Source organism: Homo sapiens, chromosome 6 (assembly GCF_000001405.40).
Source record: "Homo sapiens chromosome 6, GRCh38.p14 Primary Assembly".
Taxonomy (NCBI): domain Eukaryota; kingdom Metazoa; phylum Chordata; class Mammalia; order Primates; family Hominidae; genus Homo; species Homo sapiens.
In genome coordinates, this window is record NC_000006.12 from 68,381,981 (window position 1) to 68,404,981 (window position 23,001).

A 23,001-nucleotide genomic window follows, 5' to 3' on the forward strand; every position below is an offset into this window, starting at 1 on the left:
GATACATCATTAGATTGTTTATTTGAGGGTTTTTTTTTTTTATGTAGGTACTTAATAGCTATCAGCTGCCCTCTTAGTTCTGCTTTTGCTGTGTCCTATAGGTTTAGGTATGTTGTGTTTCTATTATCATTTGTTTTAAGAAGTTTTTAAATTTTCATCTTAATTTCTTCATTGACCGACTGTACAATCAGGGGCATGTTGTTTAATTTCCATGTATTTTTATAGTTTCCAAAATTCCTCTTGTTAATTTCTGTTTTATTCCATTTTGTTAAGAGAAGATGGCCGATATTATTTCAAGTTTTTTGAATGTTTTAAGACTTGTTTCGTGACCTAACATATGGCCTATTCTTGAGAATATTCCATGTACTGAGGAGAATGTGTATTCTGCAGCTGTTGCATGAAATGCTCTGTAAATAACTTTTAGATCAATTTTGGTCTACAGTGCAGATAAAGTCTGATGTTTCTTTGACGATTTTCCATCTGGAAATGTGTGCAGTGCTGAAAGTGAGGTGTTGAAGTCTTCAGCTATTATTGTATTGGGGTCTATCTTTCTTTTAAGCTCTAATATTTTCTTTATATATCAGGGCTTTCCACTGTTGGGAGCATATATATTTAAAATTATTATATCCTCTTGCTGAATTGACCATTTTATTATGTAATCAACTGACTTGTCTCTTCTTATAATTTTTGTCTGGAAATCTGCTTTGTCTGATATAAGTGTAGCTATTCCTGATCTCTTTTTTTGTTTCCATTAGCATGGAATATCTTTTTAAATTATTTTTTTTAATCTTCAGTCTATGTGTGTCTTTATAGGTGAAGTGTGTTTCTTGAGGGCAACAAATCAATAGATCTTGTGCTTTTATTTATCCAACCAGTCTATGTCTTTTGATTGGAGAATTTGATCCATGTACATCAATATTATTGATAAGTAAGAACTTACTCTTACCATTTCATTGTTTTTTCTTGTTGTTTTGTGGTGTTCACTTCTTTTTCTCACTGTCTTCCTGTAGTGAAGATGCTTTTCTATGGTGATATGATTTGTTTTCTTTTTCTTTTTTTGTGTATTCATTGTATGTTTTTGGGTTGAGGTTACCATGAGGTTTGCAAATACTATCTTATATAAGCCACTATTTTAATCTGATAAAAACCTACCACTGTTTGCACAAACAAGCAAAAGCAGAAAGAAAACTAACTAAAGTTCTATGCCTTAATTTGTCACTCTGCTATTTAACTTTTTTGGTTTATATTTTTATCTTATTGTACTATGTATGTCTTGAAAAGTTGTATTATTTTTGATTCATTGTTTTTTTTTTCTACTTAGGATAAGAGTAGTTTACATACCACAGTTACAGTGTTAAAATATTCTGTGTCTTTCTTTTTACTTACTATTACCAGTGAGCTTTGTACCTTTAGGTGATTACTTATCGCTCACTAACATTCTGCTCTTTCTGATTGAAGCACTCTCTTTAGCATTCCTTATAGGATAGGTCTGGTGTTGATGAAATTCCACAGCTTTTCTTTTTCTGGAAAAATCTTTATTTTTCCTTCATGTTTGAAGGATATTTTTGCCAGATATATTATTCTAGGGTAAAAGTTGTTTTGTTTTTATTTCCTTAAACACTTCAAATATGTCGTGCCACTGTCTCCTAGCCTGTAAGATCGCCACTAAAAAGTCTGTCATCAGATGTATTACAGCTCCATTGTGTATTATGTGTTTCTTTTTTTTCTTTTTTTTTTTTTTTTTTTGCTTCTTTTAGTATCCTTTTTAAATACTTGATCTTTGGGAGTTTGATTATTAAATGCCACAAAGTCTCTTATGCTGTCTCACTGTTTTTTTTTAATTCATTTTTTCTTTTTGCTTCAAGATTGAATGATTTCCAGTGGCTTAGCTTTGAGTGTACTGATTTCTTCTGTTTAGTTTGTTGTTAAAACTCTCTATTCAGTATCTCAGTTTATTTATAGAATTCTTCAAGTCTATGATTTCTGTTTGGTACATTTTTATAATTCCTATCTCTTTATTTAAATTGTAGGTTTGTTGCTACATTGCTCTCCTTACCTCTATAAGCCCCTTTATTACCATTATTTTGAATTCTTTCTTGGATATATCACATATCTCCACTTCATTCAGCTCAGTTGCTGGAGAATTAGCCTTTTTTTGTAGGTAAATTTTTATTTGATATATTAATCCTTGTTTCTTCATTTTCTTTTATTTGCCTTCTCTTTATTTTCCAACTCTTCATGTTGGTTTCTGTGCATTATATAACACAATGCCTCTCCCAGGCTTGTCAGACTGCCCTGGTATAGAAGAAAGATTTCATGAATCTTTTCTGGTCATTGTTTTAAGGTGCCTCTCAAATGTTTGTGTTTATACAAACCGCTATCTCTGTTTTTGGTGATTCCCTAGAGATTACAATGTGCCATGTCCTGTGAGTATTTCTAAGATCAATAAGGCAGAAGCCAGACCCTTTAGATGTAACTGGAAAGGTTGGGGTGTTGAACATTCCATTTCCTTCTATCCTCCTCATAAAACTAATATGGGTGTTTATGTCCCAATCTCTCTATGCTAATCTACTAAACTAATTTAAAGAGATGATCTGTGACTAATGTCTGTGCTTGAGTTAAGGCTTCACCCTCTGATTCTGGGGAGATAGCTGCTGGAAGCAGGCCCACTGTATGCCCATCTTTTTGGTTTTCTGGGGTTTAGGGCTACTCAGGAATGGAAAGCACCATTAACTCCCAGATTTACACTATTGAGGAGACAGACTTTGGGGTGGGATCTTTAAAAGTTGTGGCAGTGGGTGCATAAACAAACTTTTTCCAGGAAGAATGGGTAGACCTGGATTTATCACTGGGGCAAGCTGGAAGAAAAGTTTAGGAAGTGCTGAGCTCTGGCTCAAGCTGCCATGTGGCTACTGTTTGTATGTCCCACTTAGCTCCCCAATGAAAGTTTGTTAGAAGCCAGTCCATCAAGTAGGTACTGTATTCCATTGTCTTTTCTGCATTGCTCCCAGAGGGTGTGGCATCTGAAAGCACTTGCACACCCATTTAAAACCAACTTTATGTCTTGTGACATAAGGAGACTTACATTTGCCTAATATTTCCTGTTTCCAGAGTCCTTCAGGTGTTGCAGGAAGTCAGGGACCCCAAACGGGTCTCTTAATACTGTTATCTTCATAAGCTGAGGATGTACATCACCTCAGGACCCTGTGATGATTGCGTTAACTGTACAAATTGATTGTAAAACATGTGTTTGAACAACATGAAATCAGTGCACCTTGAAAAAGAACAGAATAACAGCAATTTTCAGGGAACAAGGGAAGACAACCATAAGGTCTGACTGCCTGCGGGGTCGGGCAGAATAGAGCCATATTTTTCTTCTTGCAGAGAGCCTATAAACAGACGTACAAGTAGGAGAGATATCATGAAATTCTTTTCCTAGCAAGGAATATAATATTAAGACCCTAGGAAAAGAATTGTATTCCTGGGGGGAGGTCTATAAGTGGCCGCTGTGTGAGTGCCTGTTCTATGTGATTGAGATAAGGACTGAGATACGCCCTGGTCTCCTGTAGTACCCTCAGGCTTACTAGGATTGGGAAGCCCCAGCCCTGGTAAATTTGAGGTCAGACTGGTTCTCTGCTCTCGAACCCTGTTTTCTGTTAAGATGTTTATCAAGACAATACGTGCACCACTGAACATAGACCCTTATCAGGAGTTTCTGATTTTTGCCCTGGTCCTGTTTCCTCAGAAGCATGTGATCTTTGCTCTGCCTTTTGCCCTTTGAAGCATGTGATCTTTGTGACCTACTCCCTGTTCATACACCCCCTCCCCTTTTGAAGTCCTTAATAAAAACCTGCTGGTTTTGTGGCTCAGGTGGGCATCACAGACATACCGATACATGATGTCACCCCCGGTGGCCCAGCTATAAAATTCCTCTCTTTATACTCTTTCTCTTTATTTCTGAGACTGGCCGACACTTAGGGAAAATGGAAAGAACATACATTGAAATATTGGGGGTGGGTTCCCCTGATACTCAGGTAGTAATTGTAAAAGCTGGACTGTTCAATATATGGATAAACCCCTTCTGGAGAGAAGTAAGAAACTTCATTTTTAGAGTTCCCTCTCTGCATTGTTCCTTGAGGATGAAGCCTCTGAAAGTGCTTATACATCTATATAAACGGTTGCTCTTTGCTGTGGTCTAGAGAAATTTGTGTATACCTAGTTCCCTCTGCTCCCAGAGGTATGAGATTTAAGATGCAGTTTATGGGGTGGAAGATATAAAAGTTGAAGTGCTCAATATATGGACAAACTCCTTCCAGAAAAGATTAATAAACCTGGAGCTATTGTTGGGGCAAGCCAAGGAGAAGGCTCAGGATGGGGCAATCTGCTTCTCAGTTGGCTACTATTTGCCCCTTCAACTCTCCTATGTAAGTCAGTTAGAAGCCAGGCTGCCAGGCAGAGACTGGAAGAGTGCACTTCTCCCAGAGAATGAGGCTCCTGGAAGTACTTCCACTCACATAGAAAACTGCTGTTTTTTCCTGTGGGCTATAGAGACTTACATATGCCTAATCGTCTCCATTCCCAGGGTTGCTGAATTAAGGGCCAAACTGTGGGGAACCTTAGAGTTAGGGCACTGTATGTAAGGTTCAAATCTTTCTCTCCACATGGAGAAGCTGGGGTGTTGGGCTCCTCTTTCCTGGTTGTATAGCTCTTTGTCTGGAGCAAGGTCTGTGTCTGAGGGTGACAGATTTTTCTACCCATCTGGTGTAGATTTTTTTAGTTGTCCTGTGAGTAGGAGTCTCCCAACTGGTTTTTTACTTTTTCTCAGAGAGAGATGATTTATGAATAGAAGGCTATTTGATGAATTCATGGATAGAGAGACAGGGGCCTCCTATTCTATCATGTCACTGAGTTCAACCCCTTTAAAAGGATAACTTATGACAGTCATAAATGAGAAGCACATATTGCTGTATGGCATAAAATATTCAGAAATAAATATAACTACTCTTGCACTCTTTTGGTTTCCATTTACATGGGTACTTTTTTTATTTCTTCACTTTATGAGTGTCTTTTCAGGCAAAGTAAGTCTAATAGGCAGCATAATTCTTTTTTTAAAAATCTATTCTTTTGCTCTATGTAGTTACAGATATGCAAAGACTTACTAGTACCATTTTGTTGTTTTCTGATTGTTTTGTAGATTATTACTTGCTTCCTTTCTCTCTGGGTTAGTATTCATCATCAAGCATATTTATAGTCACCTGCAATGTGTCATACAAAATTCAAGGCACTGTTTATATAGCCATAAATAAATAAAAGCTCCCTGCTTTTGTGAAGCTTATATTCTCATCGTCAATATAGATAATAAAAGATAAGCATCTAAAGTATTAGGTAGTAATGAACAAAATGAAGGGGAGCCTGACTCAAATAGGTGCTATTTTTAAGGATGACCAAAGAAGATAGAATTAGTCATGTGAGTATGTGGAAAAGAGCACTTCAGAGGAAGCAAATATTCAAGCCTTGATATTGGAATGTGCTTGGCATTGAATGTAATTGGCATACAAAATGAACAAATGAATGAAAGAATGAATTATTCAGTTATTTTAGCTGTGATTCTAGGGTTGCATAAGTTTTATTGATCAGCTCCATAGAGGGATGTCCTATTAGCTAGCTCCAGGCTTATAATAATTGAGTACCTATCATTTGCTAGGCACTTTTTCCAACTTATTTGAAATTCTCATCACAAATCTAAGATTTTGTTATTATGCTTTTCCCTTTTCCTGATAAGGGAACTGAAACTGAGATGCTAATATATTTCTCCATAACTGCATAATCCAGGATTCAAACACAGCCATATATTGTTCTATATCCAAAACTCTTTCTACCATGTCTTATTGCCTTTTATGACCAGTGAAGATAAAAGAATGTACATTTCCATTAGACAAAAAAGTAAGAGGTGTCCCAGTTATGTACTCCTAATAAAAAGTAGAATTTTATATGTGAACTTTCTTCACATATTAAAAAATATAAATTAAATTTTAACATAATTAACTAATCCTTGCTAAGCTTGACAAAGGAATATAATGTCAAATATGATTTTAATGCAGATACCTATGATTTATCTACTAGGAATTTTCAACAGTAACTGTTACCATTTACATTTACCTTTAATGTTCTTATTAAGACTATTAAGCATTCTCTATTTTTAGGGATGTACCACTCTTCAGTATTAATTATAGTTTAAGATAATATTTCAGAAGTTTACATTTAATACTAAAATTTACCTAATACCTATTTCCAATCAATAGATGACTATTACCTTTAAATTCCAATCACTCTATCTGGAACCTACTTAGTTCTCTCCTGATGATCTCGAGGGAACTGAATGAAGTACTTTTCCTTGCTGGTAAAAAGTTATCTTTTTTTCCTGAGCATTACTACATTTCTCTCATAGTTACTCATTTTTGCTGTTTATGTTAAGAAATCTCAGACACCTAAGACTCATCTAACTCTTACCTAATGGACTCACTTTGTCAGTCAAATCATACTCTGAAAAAGAGTCATTTATATTATTCCTCATGTCCTCCTCAACTTCCCCCTCCCTCTTCATTAACTGAAATATTTGCATTGAAATAATTTATTTTATTCAACAGAGTTTGACAACATTGCAACTTTGCAATTAAGACCCAGGACTTTGATATCAGACCTGGGTTGAAATACCAGCTTCTGCTCTCATAAGACTTGTATATAAGACTTCAACTTATCTGTTTAAGCCTTTGATTCTCAACTGCAAAGTAGAAATTATATTTCATGCCACATAAAATTGGGTAGAGATGAATTTTTTTAAGTAAATTGCTTAAGAAATTTCTGTTCTGTTCTAAATGTGAACAAATATGCATAAATTTTTTTCTTTTAAATACAGTATTTTGACATATAAAATATTATGCAAAATATTGATTAAATTGTGTTGACACTGTGATTTTAATCAGAAAGCTCCTGGTGTAGTCAGGAGAGTTTAGATTTAAAATCAAACAGTTTTAGGTTTTATCCTATCTAGCTGTGTGCCCTCCAGGAAAGTGTTAAATCTCTGTGAACCTTTGTCTTTTCCTCATTTCTAAAATGCCCTGATTATTTATGGTGATGAATTTATATAGTATATTTAAATCAAGAAACATACAGAGGTCTCTCTCTCTCTCTCTTTCTCTCTCTCTCTCACACACACACACACACACACACACACCACATACACACAAATTTACAAAATGGAAGGAGTTAATCAAGAAAATATAAGAAATTACCAAATTATGAAATTAGAGAAAGTAAGAAAGGAAGGACAAAAGGTTGACTTTTCCATGCAAAATAGACAAAAGCACAACATCCAAACCAAGATATACTGCTACAGATACCATCAGAATAAATTTAAAAGTCATAAAAGACCACTTTGCTCAACTATAATTTATGAGACCTGTATGAAATGGATAGACAAACTGATTATATGCAGTATTTTCCAGGCTGAGGGGAAACATATATTTATTCATTACTGATGGGAGTATAAAGTAGTATAACCTTTATGGACAGCAATTTGGCAATCTACTAAATTTTATAATTCACATACACTTTGACTCAACAAATCCACGTCTTGAGATTTATCCTACAAAACTCTTACATGTGTGACATGATGTACATATATGTAGAGAAAGCAATTTAAATAGGGATTTTCTATATAATGTTGGGGTCCTACAAAGAAATACTAGGCTGGTGCTAAAAGAAGAATGAAGTAATTCCATATATGTTGATATAGAGTACAATATATGTTGCTTAGTGAAAAGATCAAATTACAGGGCAAGAACATAGTATGCCTCCAAAAAAATAGTAAAATTTCGTATGTCTGTATACACAAACACACACTGAGACTTTTTCTGGAAAGTTATTTAATAAATTGACAACAGTGTTTGCCTTTAAGTAAAATTACTAAGTACCTCGAAAACAGGTTAAGTTGGGATAATTTCTTTCCACTGCATTATTTTGAATTTTGTATATTTTTTTGTTTTACAGATTTCAAAACTATAATACATTTTTAAAATTATACAGTAGTTATTTTGGTTCAGAGACTTAAACACTGCATTTTCTTTCTCAGATTTTCACTCAGTACATTAGCATATCAGGAGGTCTAGGATTCAACTAAAGATAATAACTTATGTTGTACCTTATACAGAACGTTATACTAGACCCTGGATTTATAAGCAGGAGCAACAGTGACTCAGCCACCACTCTCAGAAAGCTTGTTCTTCAGCTGGGAAAGCAAATAATAATCATATAAATAGTTTTATTTTTGAAACAGGGTCTTACTTTTTTGCCTAAATAAATATTTTAAACTTAGTTTTATATAGCATATTTTTAAAATTATTTGATTAACTATTTTTAATGTGTATCACGTTTAACAACCCTTGAAACACACTTTAAGAAATACTATGCTATAGTACTTTCTTCTTCCCTACCAGTGAGATCTTTCACAAAGAAAAGATTGACCAAACTAGAAAGAGAAACAAAAGAAGGAAGAGAAGGAGGAATATAGGTTTAATATATCCTTAACCAAAAAAAAAAAGAAAGATAGAAACTTATTAAACTTGTGGTAACATATTCAACCTAAGACACAATTCATCATTGATACCCTATAGAATTAAGTTTAAATAATGTTATGCAAAACATTTCTCTAGCACTGAGTAAATGGCTAATAAATATGAGCTATTATTGAAATAACTGTTCAAGTATCCTCATAAAATGTATAGATAAATCTGAATAAATAATATGAATAATGGTATTTGAGTCCAAGACCATATGTATCCAAGAAAGTGTTACACAGACATAGAGATCAAAGATAAAAGGCAAAAGGCATGTAATTAATGCTGTGGTTATATTAACCAAACCCTTTTCATAATTCCTTTTCTTAGGCCAACCTCTAGTAAAATTTGTCTAGAAGTGGCCACATGGCCCAGTTCCAGCCAGTACAGTGGGAATCTCTGGGTAAAGCTTCCAGGAAGGAAACCTTTGTGTTGTTGTTGTTTTTGTTCATTTGTTTGTTTGTTTGTTTTTTGAGATGGAGTCTTGCCCTGTTGCCCAGGCTGGAGTGCGGTGGCGCAATCTTGGCTCACTGGAACCTCTGCCTCCCAGGTTCAAACGATTCTCCTGCCCCAGCCTCCTGAGTAGCTGGAATTACAGGAATGTGCCACCATGCCTGGCTAATTTTTTTTTTTGAGACACAGTTGCACTCTTGTTGCCCAGGCTGGAGCGCAATGGTGCGATCTCAGTTCACTGCAACCTGCACCTCCTGGGTTCCAGTGATTCTCCTGCCTCAGCCTCCCAAGTGGCTGGGATTACAGGCACCCGTCACCACACCTGGCTAATTTTTGTATTTTTAGTAGAGATGGGGTTTCGCCATGTTGGCCAGGCTGGTCTCGAATTCCTGATCTCAAGCTGCCCACCTCAGACTCCCAAAGTGCTGGGACTACAGGCATGAGCCACCATGCCTGGCCTGTATTTTTAGTAGAGATAGGATTTTGCCATGTTGGCCAGGCTGGTCTCAAACTCCTAACCTGAAATTATTCGCCCACCTTGGCCTCCCAAAGTGCTGGGAACCACCACCATGCCTGGCCGGGAAGCCTTCTTAGAAGAAAGAGGCTTGTTAGGCCTTCCTCTTTTGCCCCCTTTGCCTTTTTTTTATTTTTTCTTGCTAGGAGCATATAAATAAGTACAGCAATCATCTTGCAACTTGGGCTGGGCGTGGAAAGACATATGCTAGAAATGGCACTCCAAATATTAAAAAGTCTCTGGTTTCTGATAGCCTCATGAAGCTCGTACACTAGCTCTGGTCTGTTACTGACAGATTTCTTATTAAGTGAGAAAAATAAATCTATACATGTTAGTTGGCTTTCTGTTATTTGCAATGAAATGCATTCCTGACAAAAAGAGAAATGGAACTCTGAGAAACATTTTTACAAAACTGCATGTTACAGGAAAAGCAAGGCTAATATAAATATAAGTAAGCATAGTCATGAGATATCATAGTTCAAAATCTATATTAAAAATAGTCCAGAGATAATGCTCTTTGCATATAATATGCATTCCTTTGCTAATGGGTAAAAAGGGTTTCATTTAATTTTCCATAACAGAATAGTGGTCAGGGAACATTGAAGTGGTCCTTGAACAGTGAGGGACAATAGATCATAAACTCCTACTTTTTAATAGATGAATTATCCACATTTAACCCAAAGAGATAACCTAAGTATTTGAAAATTAAATCAAAAGCACTGTGACTTTCAACTATTTTGTTTTGTCTTTTAATCAAGCCTGTAGACAGGTTTCTTAGGCATATGGTTACATCCTACGTGCTGAAAGAATGCAAAGTCATTACTCAAAGAGTGCCATTTTGTTCCCTGAGACTATAGGTTCCTGCAGCATAGGGCCATTGGGATTTACTGATTTAGAAAACAAACATTATTGAATATTACATAGAGTACTTTGTTGAGAGCTGGGAAAGAGAATACAGGGATGACTAATTTATGGTAACCGTATACAAAGGAAGTTTCAGGGCTGGGCACAGTGGCTCATGCCTGTAATCCCAGCACTTTGGGAGGCCGAGGAGGGTGTATCACTTCAGCCCAGGAGTTTGAGACTGGTCTGAGCAACATGATAAAACCTTGGCTCTACAAAAATAATCCAGAAAACTAGCCAGGTGTGGTGACGTGTGCCTATAGTCCCAGCTACCTGGGAGGCCGCAGTGGGAGAATCACCTGCGCCAAGGAAGTTGAGGCTGCAGTGAACACTGACTGTGCCACTGAACTCCAGCCTAGGCAAAAGAGTAAGACCCCAACTCAATAAATTAATGTAAGTAAGTTTCAGTCCAGTAGGAGAGCCAGACACTCACAGAAATTATACAAAAATGTGATCTAAAGAAGGTAAGAGTACCAAAATCAAGACACAATAGTCCAAGCACCATTTATGAATTGTTCACTTGCTTTGGGAGTGATGGTAGAGGGCTGTCAAATATCTGGCCAAGATCAATTGTGCTGCTGCTCAATCCCAGAATCACTGACATCAAGGAAGGATGTGTCTTCCTTCTCATACCCCACCACCTCTACGCGCTCTAAGGAGACTATTTTGTGAGTGGGAGGCAGGGGTTGGACTTCAAGGCCTTAAAAGTGTCTTCTACTTCTATCTTCTTGTTTGAGAGTTCTGTAAACTCAACAGGGCCAGCTGTTGATTCCACATACAGGTGAATGTCCTAAAGGAATAATTTTCTCTCTCCTTTCCCCCACCTAGAGAAGAGTTTGTCAAACACGTGAGTACTTCCATGTTGTCTCTGCATTATCTCCCTTCCAGTCTTGTCTTCTGTATTAATATTTACCTTATTCTTAGTTTATTTTTTGTTATTCAAATCTAGTGGTTGAAATAAAAACTATCCCTCCTGCAGCTGTCTGTATGCTTCTATGGCTGCCCTTTCATTCTCCACATATTTGAATTTTTTGACATAAAATATACTTTATTTGTAGCCCTTTTAGACCTTTAGTTTCCCATCTGCAAGGGCTGATATTCCCACCACCATCTTTGAAGTTTATGCCTTGCCACTTTACCTCCTTTTACCATTTCGTAACAATTGTATTCCTCAGTGGGGCATAGCAGTGGGCTCCCATTTCTCCCCTCTACTGGTATAGCAGTCTGGGAGCTTTGATGGAAAAGGAGAGGGTGCTTCAGGGTTTCAGTGCATGATCACCCGACACCTTACAAATTATTTGATCTCTTTTCCTCCCACGCTCTGACATTTACTTAGTGATTCACTCTCCAGACAGTGTCAAATCCCAGATCCACCACACATCAAAGGATTTAACCTCCAACATGCCACTTTCTCATTATGATTGTTAATCCCTATATATTTTATGCTGGACTGCAACTAAATGTGTTCTTCAGTCTCATTAATCTCTACATTTTCTTGAATAACTTTTCTCAGAGCTTATTAATCCTTTTCACTTCATTGGTATTCCAATACAGCAGTGTTACACACCCAGTTAAAAATACATTATTAAAAGTACTTTCTAACTCTCTAGTCAGCACTCTCAACATCTTTGGCAACTTATCTTCCTTCTAATCTTAAATTGCTATAAATTTCTGAATTTTCTAATTTCTACACATGCTCAGAGCTGCTGGAAAAAAAGTATATGAAGTCTAGTACCAAAGTATCTTAGATGTCAACCACCCTCTTTCCACCCCACTACACGAACACTTAGCAGCAGACTGAATCTCTGCCTAGCTATTTGTCTTATTCTCCACAGCTATTTCTAAGAAAATAATATTTCTCAATATTCTTAGCCTGTTTGTCTTATTCTGGTTGGGCTGTTGTAAAGCAGTGTCATAGATTGGGTAGCTTATAAACAACAGATTTTTTTTTTATATTACCGGAGGCTTGGAAATTCAAGATCAAGGTGCAAGCAGATTTGGTATCTGGTGAGGGCCCTTTCATAGATGGTATCTTCTCACTGTATCCTTACATGGTGGAAGCAGCAAGAAAGTTTTCTGGGGCCTCTTTTACAAGGGCACTAATCCCATTCATGAGGGATCTGCCCTCATGACCTAATCACTTCCCAAAGCCACACCTCCTAATACCATCACATTGGTGATTAGGTTTCAACATATGAATTGTGAGGGCAAACATCAGACTGTAACACTGCACTAGCCCCAATGTCTTTTTTTCTCTATTAATAGAAAAGCTTGCCTTTTGCTCTCAGAAAAAAAGTTTAAGTAATCAGTATCTGCCTCTTTTATTTAACCAACTACAATTTGTTATCTCTATGCACCATATTTTATCACCATCTTTCTCAGGGAAAAAAGTCCCTCTGCTTATCTAACACTAATTGTGGTATCTGAGTCAGAGCTTCTCAAACTTTAATGTGTTTATAAAGTACCTGAGGATCTTGTTCAATGCAGATTCTGATTCAGTAGGTATGGAGTAAAACCTGAGATTCTAAAAAATTCCCAGCAGTGTACGTGCTCCTGGGCCACCAACGATACCAACACAGTAATAATTACTTTTCCTAGAGGAAGTGGCTCATGAAGGCAAAAGTGACTGGGACCTAGGAAAGTGATTGTGTAGCCCTAATCCTAGTCTCCCAATCCATAACAACTGGGAAATTCTCTCATGATTCTTCGTTGCCTAATGATTGCTCTAAAATAAAATGCTGATGCTATTTTTTTCTGTTTAAAATCCTCCAGGACTTTGACTATCATACAGACAAAAAGGTTAAACACTACCTCTTTCATGACCAATGCATTACAGATCTTGCTAGTTTCCCTTCCCTTTATATATCTAGTGATCTTTCTAGGCTAAATTACTGTCAATTTTCTCGTGCTTGATATTCCGTGTTATATCTACAGGGACTTTTCTGATTGGGAAAACCACTTCTCCCCAGTTAGCATAATTTTTTATTCGCCCACCTTAAAAACTTTCCCCATCTCCATCATGCAAATATAGTAAGTATATATAACTACTTATATAGGAATCTTCTCATAGTAACTACACAATTCAGACGTATAACTCACCATATGATTTTGTGTCTACTTATATTTTTGTGTATCTCAGTTTAGACTGTGGGCTCCTAGAGAGTGGGAACTTTGTCTTCAATTCATATGTCTCCATTGCCTGGCAAAAATAGGTATTTAACTAATGTTTGTTGGATCTTCGAATACATGAATTAGTGACTTGAGTATACACTTTAGATACACATTTTATTAAAATGCAAATAATAGCAACCATACTTAAAAGTGACATAATAATTTTAGCCCACATTCCCTATTCATTTCTGATTCTGGTTATAATCCGTCACTCTACTTCTGAATGATCAAAAGAGCACATAAAGGAATATTAATTTGACATAAAAAGAGATATGTTAATTATGAAATATATTTTGGTCAATGCCAATGTATACAATACATGATGTTAAATATGCAATATTAACCCCAAATTAATAGAAAATATTTGCTTATTTAAGAAATTACCTTGTTAAAATATCTCAAGGATTTTTTTTAGCTCTGCCCTACATTGGAAACCTAAATAATTTTTGAAAGTGCCCACAGGCTCAGAGATTCAATAAAGTTAAAAATTCTCCATATAAATAATCTTAAAACTAAAATAGTGTTTTTAAATGAAGCTAAATGAATAATAGAGAAAACATCATAACATTTTCTTTACCACTTTTCTTCTGTGATCACCGATAAGTCATAAAATTAGTTAGGTAAGGTATTGGCATGAAAAATGAAATTATCAAAACATACCACAAATATGTTTCAATTAAATATATTTAGTTCATCACTTTTATCTACTATAATTTTGGATTACAGTCATTCATTCATTATTTCAAGAAATATTTACTCAGTGCCTACTATATGCCTGGCACTGTATTGTGTGTGGGAACACTGCAGAGTGAAACAAGAAATTTGCAATTTAGCAGAACATGTAGACAAAAATAAGTGAGTGTTACGAACTGAATGTGTTCCCTCAAAATTCATATGTATAAGTTCCAACGTTCAATGTGACTATATTTTGAGACAAGGCTGTTAATAGAGGTACTTAAAGTTTAGTAATTTAGAAGGATGGGGCCCTGATCCAATAGGATTAGTGTCCTTATAAGCCCAGACACCGTAGACCTCCTGTGCTCTCTCTCCATCATGAGAGGACGCATCAAGAAAGCAGCTGTCTGCAAGCCAGTAAGAGAACCCTAACCAGAAATCAACCCTGCCAGACCTTGATCTAAGAATTCTAGCCTCCAGAAATGTGAGAAAAAGGTATTTCTGTTGTTTAAGCAAACCTGTCCATAATATTATGTTAGCTCGAGAACATTAATGCAGTGACTATGAAGGATATGAAAGAGGTATGCATGACACCACTTTCAACAAGAATGCTGAGACAATTTAATGGGAAAAAAATCATTTTCAACAAATGGTGCTAGGACAACTGGATATATTCATGCAACAGAATAAAGGTACCGTATGCATTCCTTCATACCATATGCAAAAATTAACTCAAAATGGGTCAAATATCTAAGCATGGGTCATAAACTATAAAACTCTCAGGAGAAAACATAGCTGTATAATGTTTATGATCTAGAATCGGCAATGGTTTCTTAGATGGGGCACCAAAAGCAACACCAACAAAAGAATAAATAGATAAATTGAGCATCATCAAAATTGGAAATGTTGTACTTCAAAGAAAATTATCAGGAAAATGAAGGGACAACCTGCAGAATTGGAGAAAGTATTTGTAAATCATGTAATATGGGCCTATTATCCAGAATATGTTAAAAACTCTTACCACTGACCAATATAAAGACAAGCAATTCAATTAAAAATGTATAAAGTATTTGAATACATGTTTCTTCAAAGAAAATGTGCAAATGCAAATAAGCACACTAAAATATATCAATATAATTCATAATTTGGGAAATGCAAATTAAAACTAAAATGAGATACCACTTCATACCCACTAGGATGGCTATTATCAAAAACAGGGATGATCACAAGTATTGGTAAGGATGCAGAGAAATTAAAACCCTAATATGTTGCTGGTAGATGGTAAAAGAATTCAGTAGTTTTGAAAAACAATGAAAGTTTATCAAGAAGTTAAATATAGAGTCAGTACACACTCCAGCAATTATAGTTCTAGGTATATACATAAGAAAGTTGAAAATATGTGTCTACACAAAACCTTGTACATGAATGTTCATTGTAGAATTATTACTAATAGCCAAAAAGTGAAAACAATCCAATGTCTTTCAATTGATGAATGAACGAACAAAATGGACTATGTAGTAAATAGAATATATAAGAATAGAGTAGCATATTATTTGCCCATAAAAAGGAATGAAGTGCTATAACATGTTACAACATGGATGACTCTTAAAACATGATAGTAAGTGAAAGAAGACAGACACAAAAGATCACATATTGCATGGCTTCATTTATAAAACATGTCCAAAATAGGCAAGAGGGACAAAATGTAGATATTTGATTGCCAAGGGCTAAGGGAAGGGGAGAATTAGGCATGAGTGCTAATTATTTTTTTAGGTGATAAAAATGTACTAGAATTAAATGACAGTAGTGGTTATGCAACACTGGGCAATATATAAAACTGAATATACTAAAGTGAATATACTGAATATCACTGAATTATACATTTTAAAATATCTAATTTTATGGTACATGCATAATGTTAGCTCGAGAACATTAATGCAGTGACTATGAAGGATATGAAAGAGGTATGCATGACACCGCAAGCATGACGGGAAAGAGATGACGGGGCACAGCATGTCTTATCATTTGGCGTACTACACTGTGGTGGGGAGAAACTGCTAAAAGACAATTTAAAAAGGTAAGTAGGCACACAGTCATGCAAAGACCTTATAAAGCAAGTATTTCTAGACTCTTATAAAACATGAAAAGGTATTTAGCAGATGGGTGACTTCATTATATTTGGAAATGGGTAACTCTCATGATAAGAATACTAAATCTTTTAGAATAACACCGCCAAAATTCAGGCAGGAGAGCTTATACTTGGTAAATGGCACTGGAACTTGAGAAAAAATGCTTTTATAAGTATTAAGATGAATACTTATTACTAAAGAAAATTTCAATGTTTATATCCAGTAGAAAAACTATGCATTCCATTTCCAGACTTCACAATTGATCATTATTCCATGAAGATGCTTATAATGGTCTCTATATTTAACATGATTATGAAAAAAATAAATTGTACACATTTTTTCCCACCTCCTACAATCCAAGTCTCCAAAACTCCTGAACTTGAATTTTAAATGCCTAAATGTCACCACCAAAAGGAAAAATAAGTTCTTTTTTTTATTATTATACTTTAAGTTTTAGGGTACATGTGCACAACATGCAGGTTAGTGCAAAATAAAAGGAATATATATATGTGTATAATAACATACTGATAAATGTTTCAGTAATTGTATTCTAATAATGTAAACCCAATATAAAAATTAATAATTTAATTCAAATAATAAAATAAATGCTGTTTATAGTATAGATTTTTTTAATTACATGAGAAATTGATTATGGGAAAGAAATGTTTGAGGTTGAGGCTAGATCTAGCTGGGATGTGCCTCTTCCACAGAGAGGAACCAAAATATCACGTAAACCTTTACAATTTGAACAATCATTTGAAAGAAAACACAAAAATTTGATAGGCAAGAGAAGACACCTTGGTTGCAGATAAACGTGCAGAACAGTCTACTCAGGGATGATAGGCTCCAGATCTGGGCCCTGAACCCAGAAAAGACCCAAAGAAGGGATGAGTGGAGCAACCTTGGGGCACCACATTCTTGCCACAGGCCTCTGAGATCCTAGCTACAGAAGCTCTCACAAGCCCTCCCACATACCCCACAAAAGACTTTGGACTGGCAGGGAAGCTGCCTAGAGAATACACAGTTGCATTGCTTGAACCCACATGGAGCCCAGAAGGCTTGCTGTGCTGGGCAGCTGCAGAAAAATGGAACCCTTTTTAGGTGCCCACCCCACAAGACTCTCCATCCTGCAATGAACAGCTGCAGTTTCTGCTTCTGCCTGGCAGGAGAGAGAAATGCTCAGGCATGTTCATATGACTAAGACAAGTCAGGTCCCACCACCATTGCTGTGGGACCAAGATGCTTCCAAACAATGCACCCCCTTGCCTGTTGGTCCCTCTCAAGACTGACTTTATGGCTGTTCCCACAGGGTGGGGCCAACAGGATAGCCTCCATTGCCCCATATGAGTGTTTCATTGGTAATCCGGGAGCAGTTCACCCCCCATCACATCACCACTTGTCACTGAAGGGCCAGAGGATAAATCCCCTGGCCTGGACCTAGTTCCCTGGGACTCAAGCACACTGCTCAGTATGAAGATCAAATGTGTGGCCTGATCTCAAGTGGAAGAGTATCCCTCACTTTCAGAACAGAGAGAAGAGTGTGGCACTGGTTCGTATGGTGGTACAGGAGCTGACTATGCCTCCTTTCATGTGATTGGACCAGGAACAATATGATCTGATAGTCAGTTTTCCCCTCAGTGACTCCTGTTGTCTGGAATGCCTGAAGTGGCACAATCTGTGTGCAGATGGCATGGGATAAGCCTAACTGATTGGGCCTGTTGCCAGGGCTGGACTCTGGAGGGAGACCCTCTGGGTTGGGTGTCTGTGAGCTGTGTAGGCCCCACAACTGCCTAATGGGCTGAAAACCCCAGGCTTTGGTCTTCCCCTAAGTGAGCTCTGTGGCACAGGAGTGGTGCCTCCACCCCTCTCTTAAGGGTTGTCCCAGCAGCCAGACAGCTGCCCTTAGAACCTCTGCCAAGGTCAGTTCTTGTGCCCACTTTGAAGAGTCTGGTTGCTAGCTCACCAGACCCAGCCCTGCCCAGCTTTGCCCCCTCTAGTCTCCATGGTAGCACAGTGCAGGATGATACCACCCCAGAAGCCTCATCTCCCAGTCATCACCAATACTTCATCTGAAAAACAAAGGCTAGGTAAAAATCCCATTGACATTAACACCACTGTGTTCACCTGCAAGTGCCACCTACTGGTCAGGAGGTCCACCTGCATGGCCCGTAACTTTTGCTGACATCAGTGTGTGGCACTCAGCTGGCCTTTACCTGCAAACACTACCTACTGGACTGCACGTTGAACTGCATAACCCAATATTTCTCCTAACAGAAGTGCACAGTGCTGGGGAATAAGAGAAGCCTATCAAGACCTTCACCTTCCCAGCCCTGTAGGAGACAGTGAGTCTGACCACAAGCACAGTACACCACTACTACAAGTCACAAACAACTATCATTTGAAAAAAACACTGCACTAAAGCTATCTATAACCAAGGAAGCCATACAAATCTTTGGCCCCCTAAAAGCACAAAGAAGCAAATCTAAAGAATCCTACCCAATGTATGCAACAGTATTATGCTCAAGGGAGATAAAAACCTAACCTAAATGAAAGTAAATTAAAAAGTAACAAGAGCTTCTACAGATGAGAAGGAACCAGAACAATAATTCTAGCACTGTGAAGAAACAGAATGTTGTGACGCCCCAAAGGATCACACTAGTTCTGAAGCAATGCATAGAATTTTGAAAGTATCAAGTATTCAAAATATGAATTGTAAGGAAGCTCAATGAAATCCAAGAGAAAGTTGAAAGCCAACACACACATACACACACACACACACAAAATATATATGTATATAAATATATATATCTTCAGAAAATAAAAAATTAACTGAAAGAATTGAAATCTCATGTGAAAGTCTTAACAGTAGTCTAGACCAAGCAGAGGAAACAGTTTCAGAGCTCCAAGGCTAGTCTTTTTAATTAACCTACTCACAAAAAAATAAAGATTTTAAAGATGAAGAAAGACTGAAAAATATGGGATTATATAAAGCAATCAAACCTAAAACAGGCATTTCTGAGAGAGAAAAACAAAAAGTAAGCAACTTGGAAAATACATTTGATGGAATAATTCAGGAAATTTTTTCTAATTTTGCTAGATAGACATCCAGAGAAGAAATTCAGAAAACACCTGCAAGATAACAGAAAATGACTATCATCAAGACACACAGTCATTAGAATACCCAAGATTAATGCTAACAACAAAAAATAATCTTAAAGGCAGCTAGAGAAAAAGGCCAAATCACAAATAAAGATAATCTCATCAGGCTAACAGCAGACATCTCAGCAAAAACCTCACAAGCCAGAAGATACCAGGGGCCTATTTTTAGCTTTCTTAAAGGAAAAAAAAATGCCAGCCAATAATATTATATCCTGCCAAACTAAGCATCATAAACAAAAGAGAAATAAAGTTTTTCCCAGGCAAGCAAATGTTAAGGCAATTTGTCACCACCAGATCAGTCTTACAAAAAACAAATGCTCAAAGGAAGTCTAAACTGAAAACAAAAGGACAATACTTGCTATCATAAAACCACACAAAAGTACAAAGTTCACAGATCCTATAAAGCAAATCCACAATTGAGACTACAAATCCACTAGCTAATGACACTATGAGAGACACAAAATCTCACATATCATTATTAACCCTGAATGCAGATGCCATAAAACTCCATTTAAAAGATATCAGTTGGCAAATTGAATACAAAAACAGGACCCAAACATATGCCTTCAAGAGACCCATGTAACATGCAATGGTACCTATAGGTGTCAGTAACTGGATGGAAAAAGATATATCATGCAAATGGAAAACAAAGAGCAAGGCTTGCTATTTTTCTATCAGATAAATCAGACTTTAAACCAACAGCAGTAAAAAAAAAAAAAAGGCAAAGAAGTGCATTATATAATGACAGGGATTGATTCAACAAGAAGATTTAGATATATTTAAATATATATGTTTAATATGTATAAATATATATATTTATATATTTATTCAAGATGGCTTGAATTATTCCCCAGAAAATAGGTTTTTCTCTTCTACCAAATGATCAGGCTGCAAATTTTCCAAACTTTTGTGTACTGCTTCCTTTTTAAATATAAGTTCCAGTTTCAGATTATTTCGTTGTTCATGTGTATGAGTGTACACTTTTAGAAACAGCCAGGTAACTTCTTGAATTATTTGCTGCTTAGAAATATATATATATATAAAATAGACATCTATTTAATATATAGACATATATAATAGACACATACATATATATGTGTATATATGTGTGTATGTATATGTATGTGTGTGTGTGTGTGTATATATATATATATATATATATAGAGAGAGAGAGAGAGAGAGAGAGAGAGAGAGAGAGAGATGCCTATTAGGTCCATTTAGCTGAGACCAATTTAACTGCAGAGTTTCTCTGTTGTTTTTTTACCTCAGTGATCTGCCTAGTTATGTCAATGGGTTGTTGAAGTTCCCCACTATTATTGTATCACTGTCTATTTTTTTCCTTAGGTCTAGTAGCATTTGTTTTATAAATATGGGTGCTCTAGTATTGAGTGCATATATTCTTCTCACATTGCAAAATACAATGATCCCTTTTCGACAGTCGTTCAGTCTTAATTCATTTCAGCATTAACTCAAAAATCCATAGTCAAAGTCTCATCTAAGACAAAGTAAGTCCCTTCTACCTATGAGTCTATAAAATAAAAAACAAGTCATCTACTTTCAAGATACAGTGGTGGTAGAGGCATTTGGTAAATGCTACCATTCTAAATGGGAGAAATTAGCCAAAATGAAGGAGCCATAGGACTGATGCAAGACCTAGGCAGGTAGTCATTAAATCTTAAAGCTCCAAATTAATCTCCTTTGACTCTATGTCTCATATCCAGCATACTCTGATGGAAGGGGTGGGCTCCCATGGCCTTGGGTTGCTCTGATCCTGTGGCTTTGCAAGTTACAGCCCCTGTGGCTACTTTCATGGGCTGGCATTGAGTGCCTGCAGCTCAAAGCCAGCCAGGTGCATGGTGCAAGCTGTAGATGGATCTACCATTCTGGGGTCTGGAGGACAGTGGCCCTCTATTCAAAGCTCCACTAGGCAGTGCCCCAGTGGGGACTTTATTTAGGGGCTCTAATTCCACATTTTCCCTCTTTACTTCCCTAGTAGAGGTTCTCCATGAGGCTCTGCCCCTGCAGCAGACTTCTGCCTGGACATGTTGGCATGTCCATACATCCTCTGAAATCTAGGTGGAGGCTCCCAAACCTCAACTCTGGCCTTCTGTGCACCTGCAGGCCCAACACCATGTGGAAGCCACCAAGGCTTGGGGCTTGCACCCTCTGAAGTAACAGCCCAAACTATACCTTGGCCCCTTTTTGCCATGACTGGAGCTGGAGTGGCTGGGACTCATGGTGTCGTGTCCTAAGTCTGGACAGAGCAGCTTGCCCCTGGGCCTGGCCCACTAAACCATTTTTCCTCCTAGGCCTCAGGGCGTATAATTGGAGGGGCTGTTGTGAAGATCTCTGAAATGCCCTGGAAGCATTTTTCCCATTGTTTTGGCTATAAACATTTAGCTCTTCTTTACTTATTCAAATTTCTATAGCTGGCTTGAATTCTTTCCCAGAAAATGGGTTTTTCTCTTCTACCAAATGATCAGGTTACAAATTTTCCAAACATTTGTGCTCTGCTTCCTTTTTAAATATAAGTTCCAGTTTCAGATTATTTCTTTGTTCGTGTGTATGAGTGTACACATTTAGAAACAGCCAGGTGACCTCTTGAATTCTTTGCTGTTTAGAAATTTCTTCCTCCAGATATCCTGAATCATTTCTCTCAAGTTCAAAGTTCCAAAGATCTCTAGGGCAGGGGAAAAATGTTGTCAGTCTCTTTGCTAAAGGATAGTAAGAGTGACCTTTACTGCAGTTCCCAATAATTTTCTCATTTCCATCTGAGACTACCTCACCTAGACTTCATATCACTCTCAGCATTTTGATCAAAACCATTTAACGAGAAGTTCCCAACTTTCTCACATCTTCCTGTGTTCTTCTGAGCCCTCTAAACTGTTCCAACCTCTGCCCATTACCCAGTTCCAAAGTCACTTCCACATTTTCAGGTACGTTTATAGCAGTGTCCCACTCTTCTGGTACCAATTTTCTATATTAGTCTGTATTCGCAGTGCTATAAAGAACTACCTGAGACCACATAATTTAAGAAGAAAAGAGGTTTAATTTGATTCACGGTTCTGTGGCTTAACAGGAAGCATGACTGGGAAGAATCAAGAAACTTACAGTCATGTCAGAAAGCAAAAAGGAAGCAAGGACTTTCTTTATATGGTGGAAGGGGAGAGAGAGAGAGAGAAAAGGTGGGAGTGCCACACACTTTTATACCATTGGATCTCATGAGAACTCACTATAATGAGAACAGCAAGGAGGAAATCCACCCCCATGATCCAATCACTTCCCACCAGGCCCCTCGTCCAATTCAACATGAGATTTTGTCAGGGACACAAATCCAAATGATATTAGAAATGATTGCTATTGCTATTGCTAGCTAGATTAA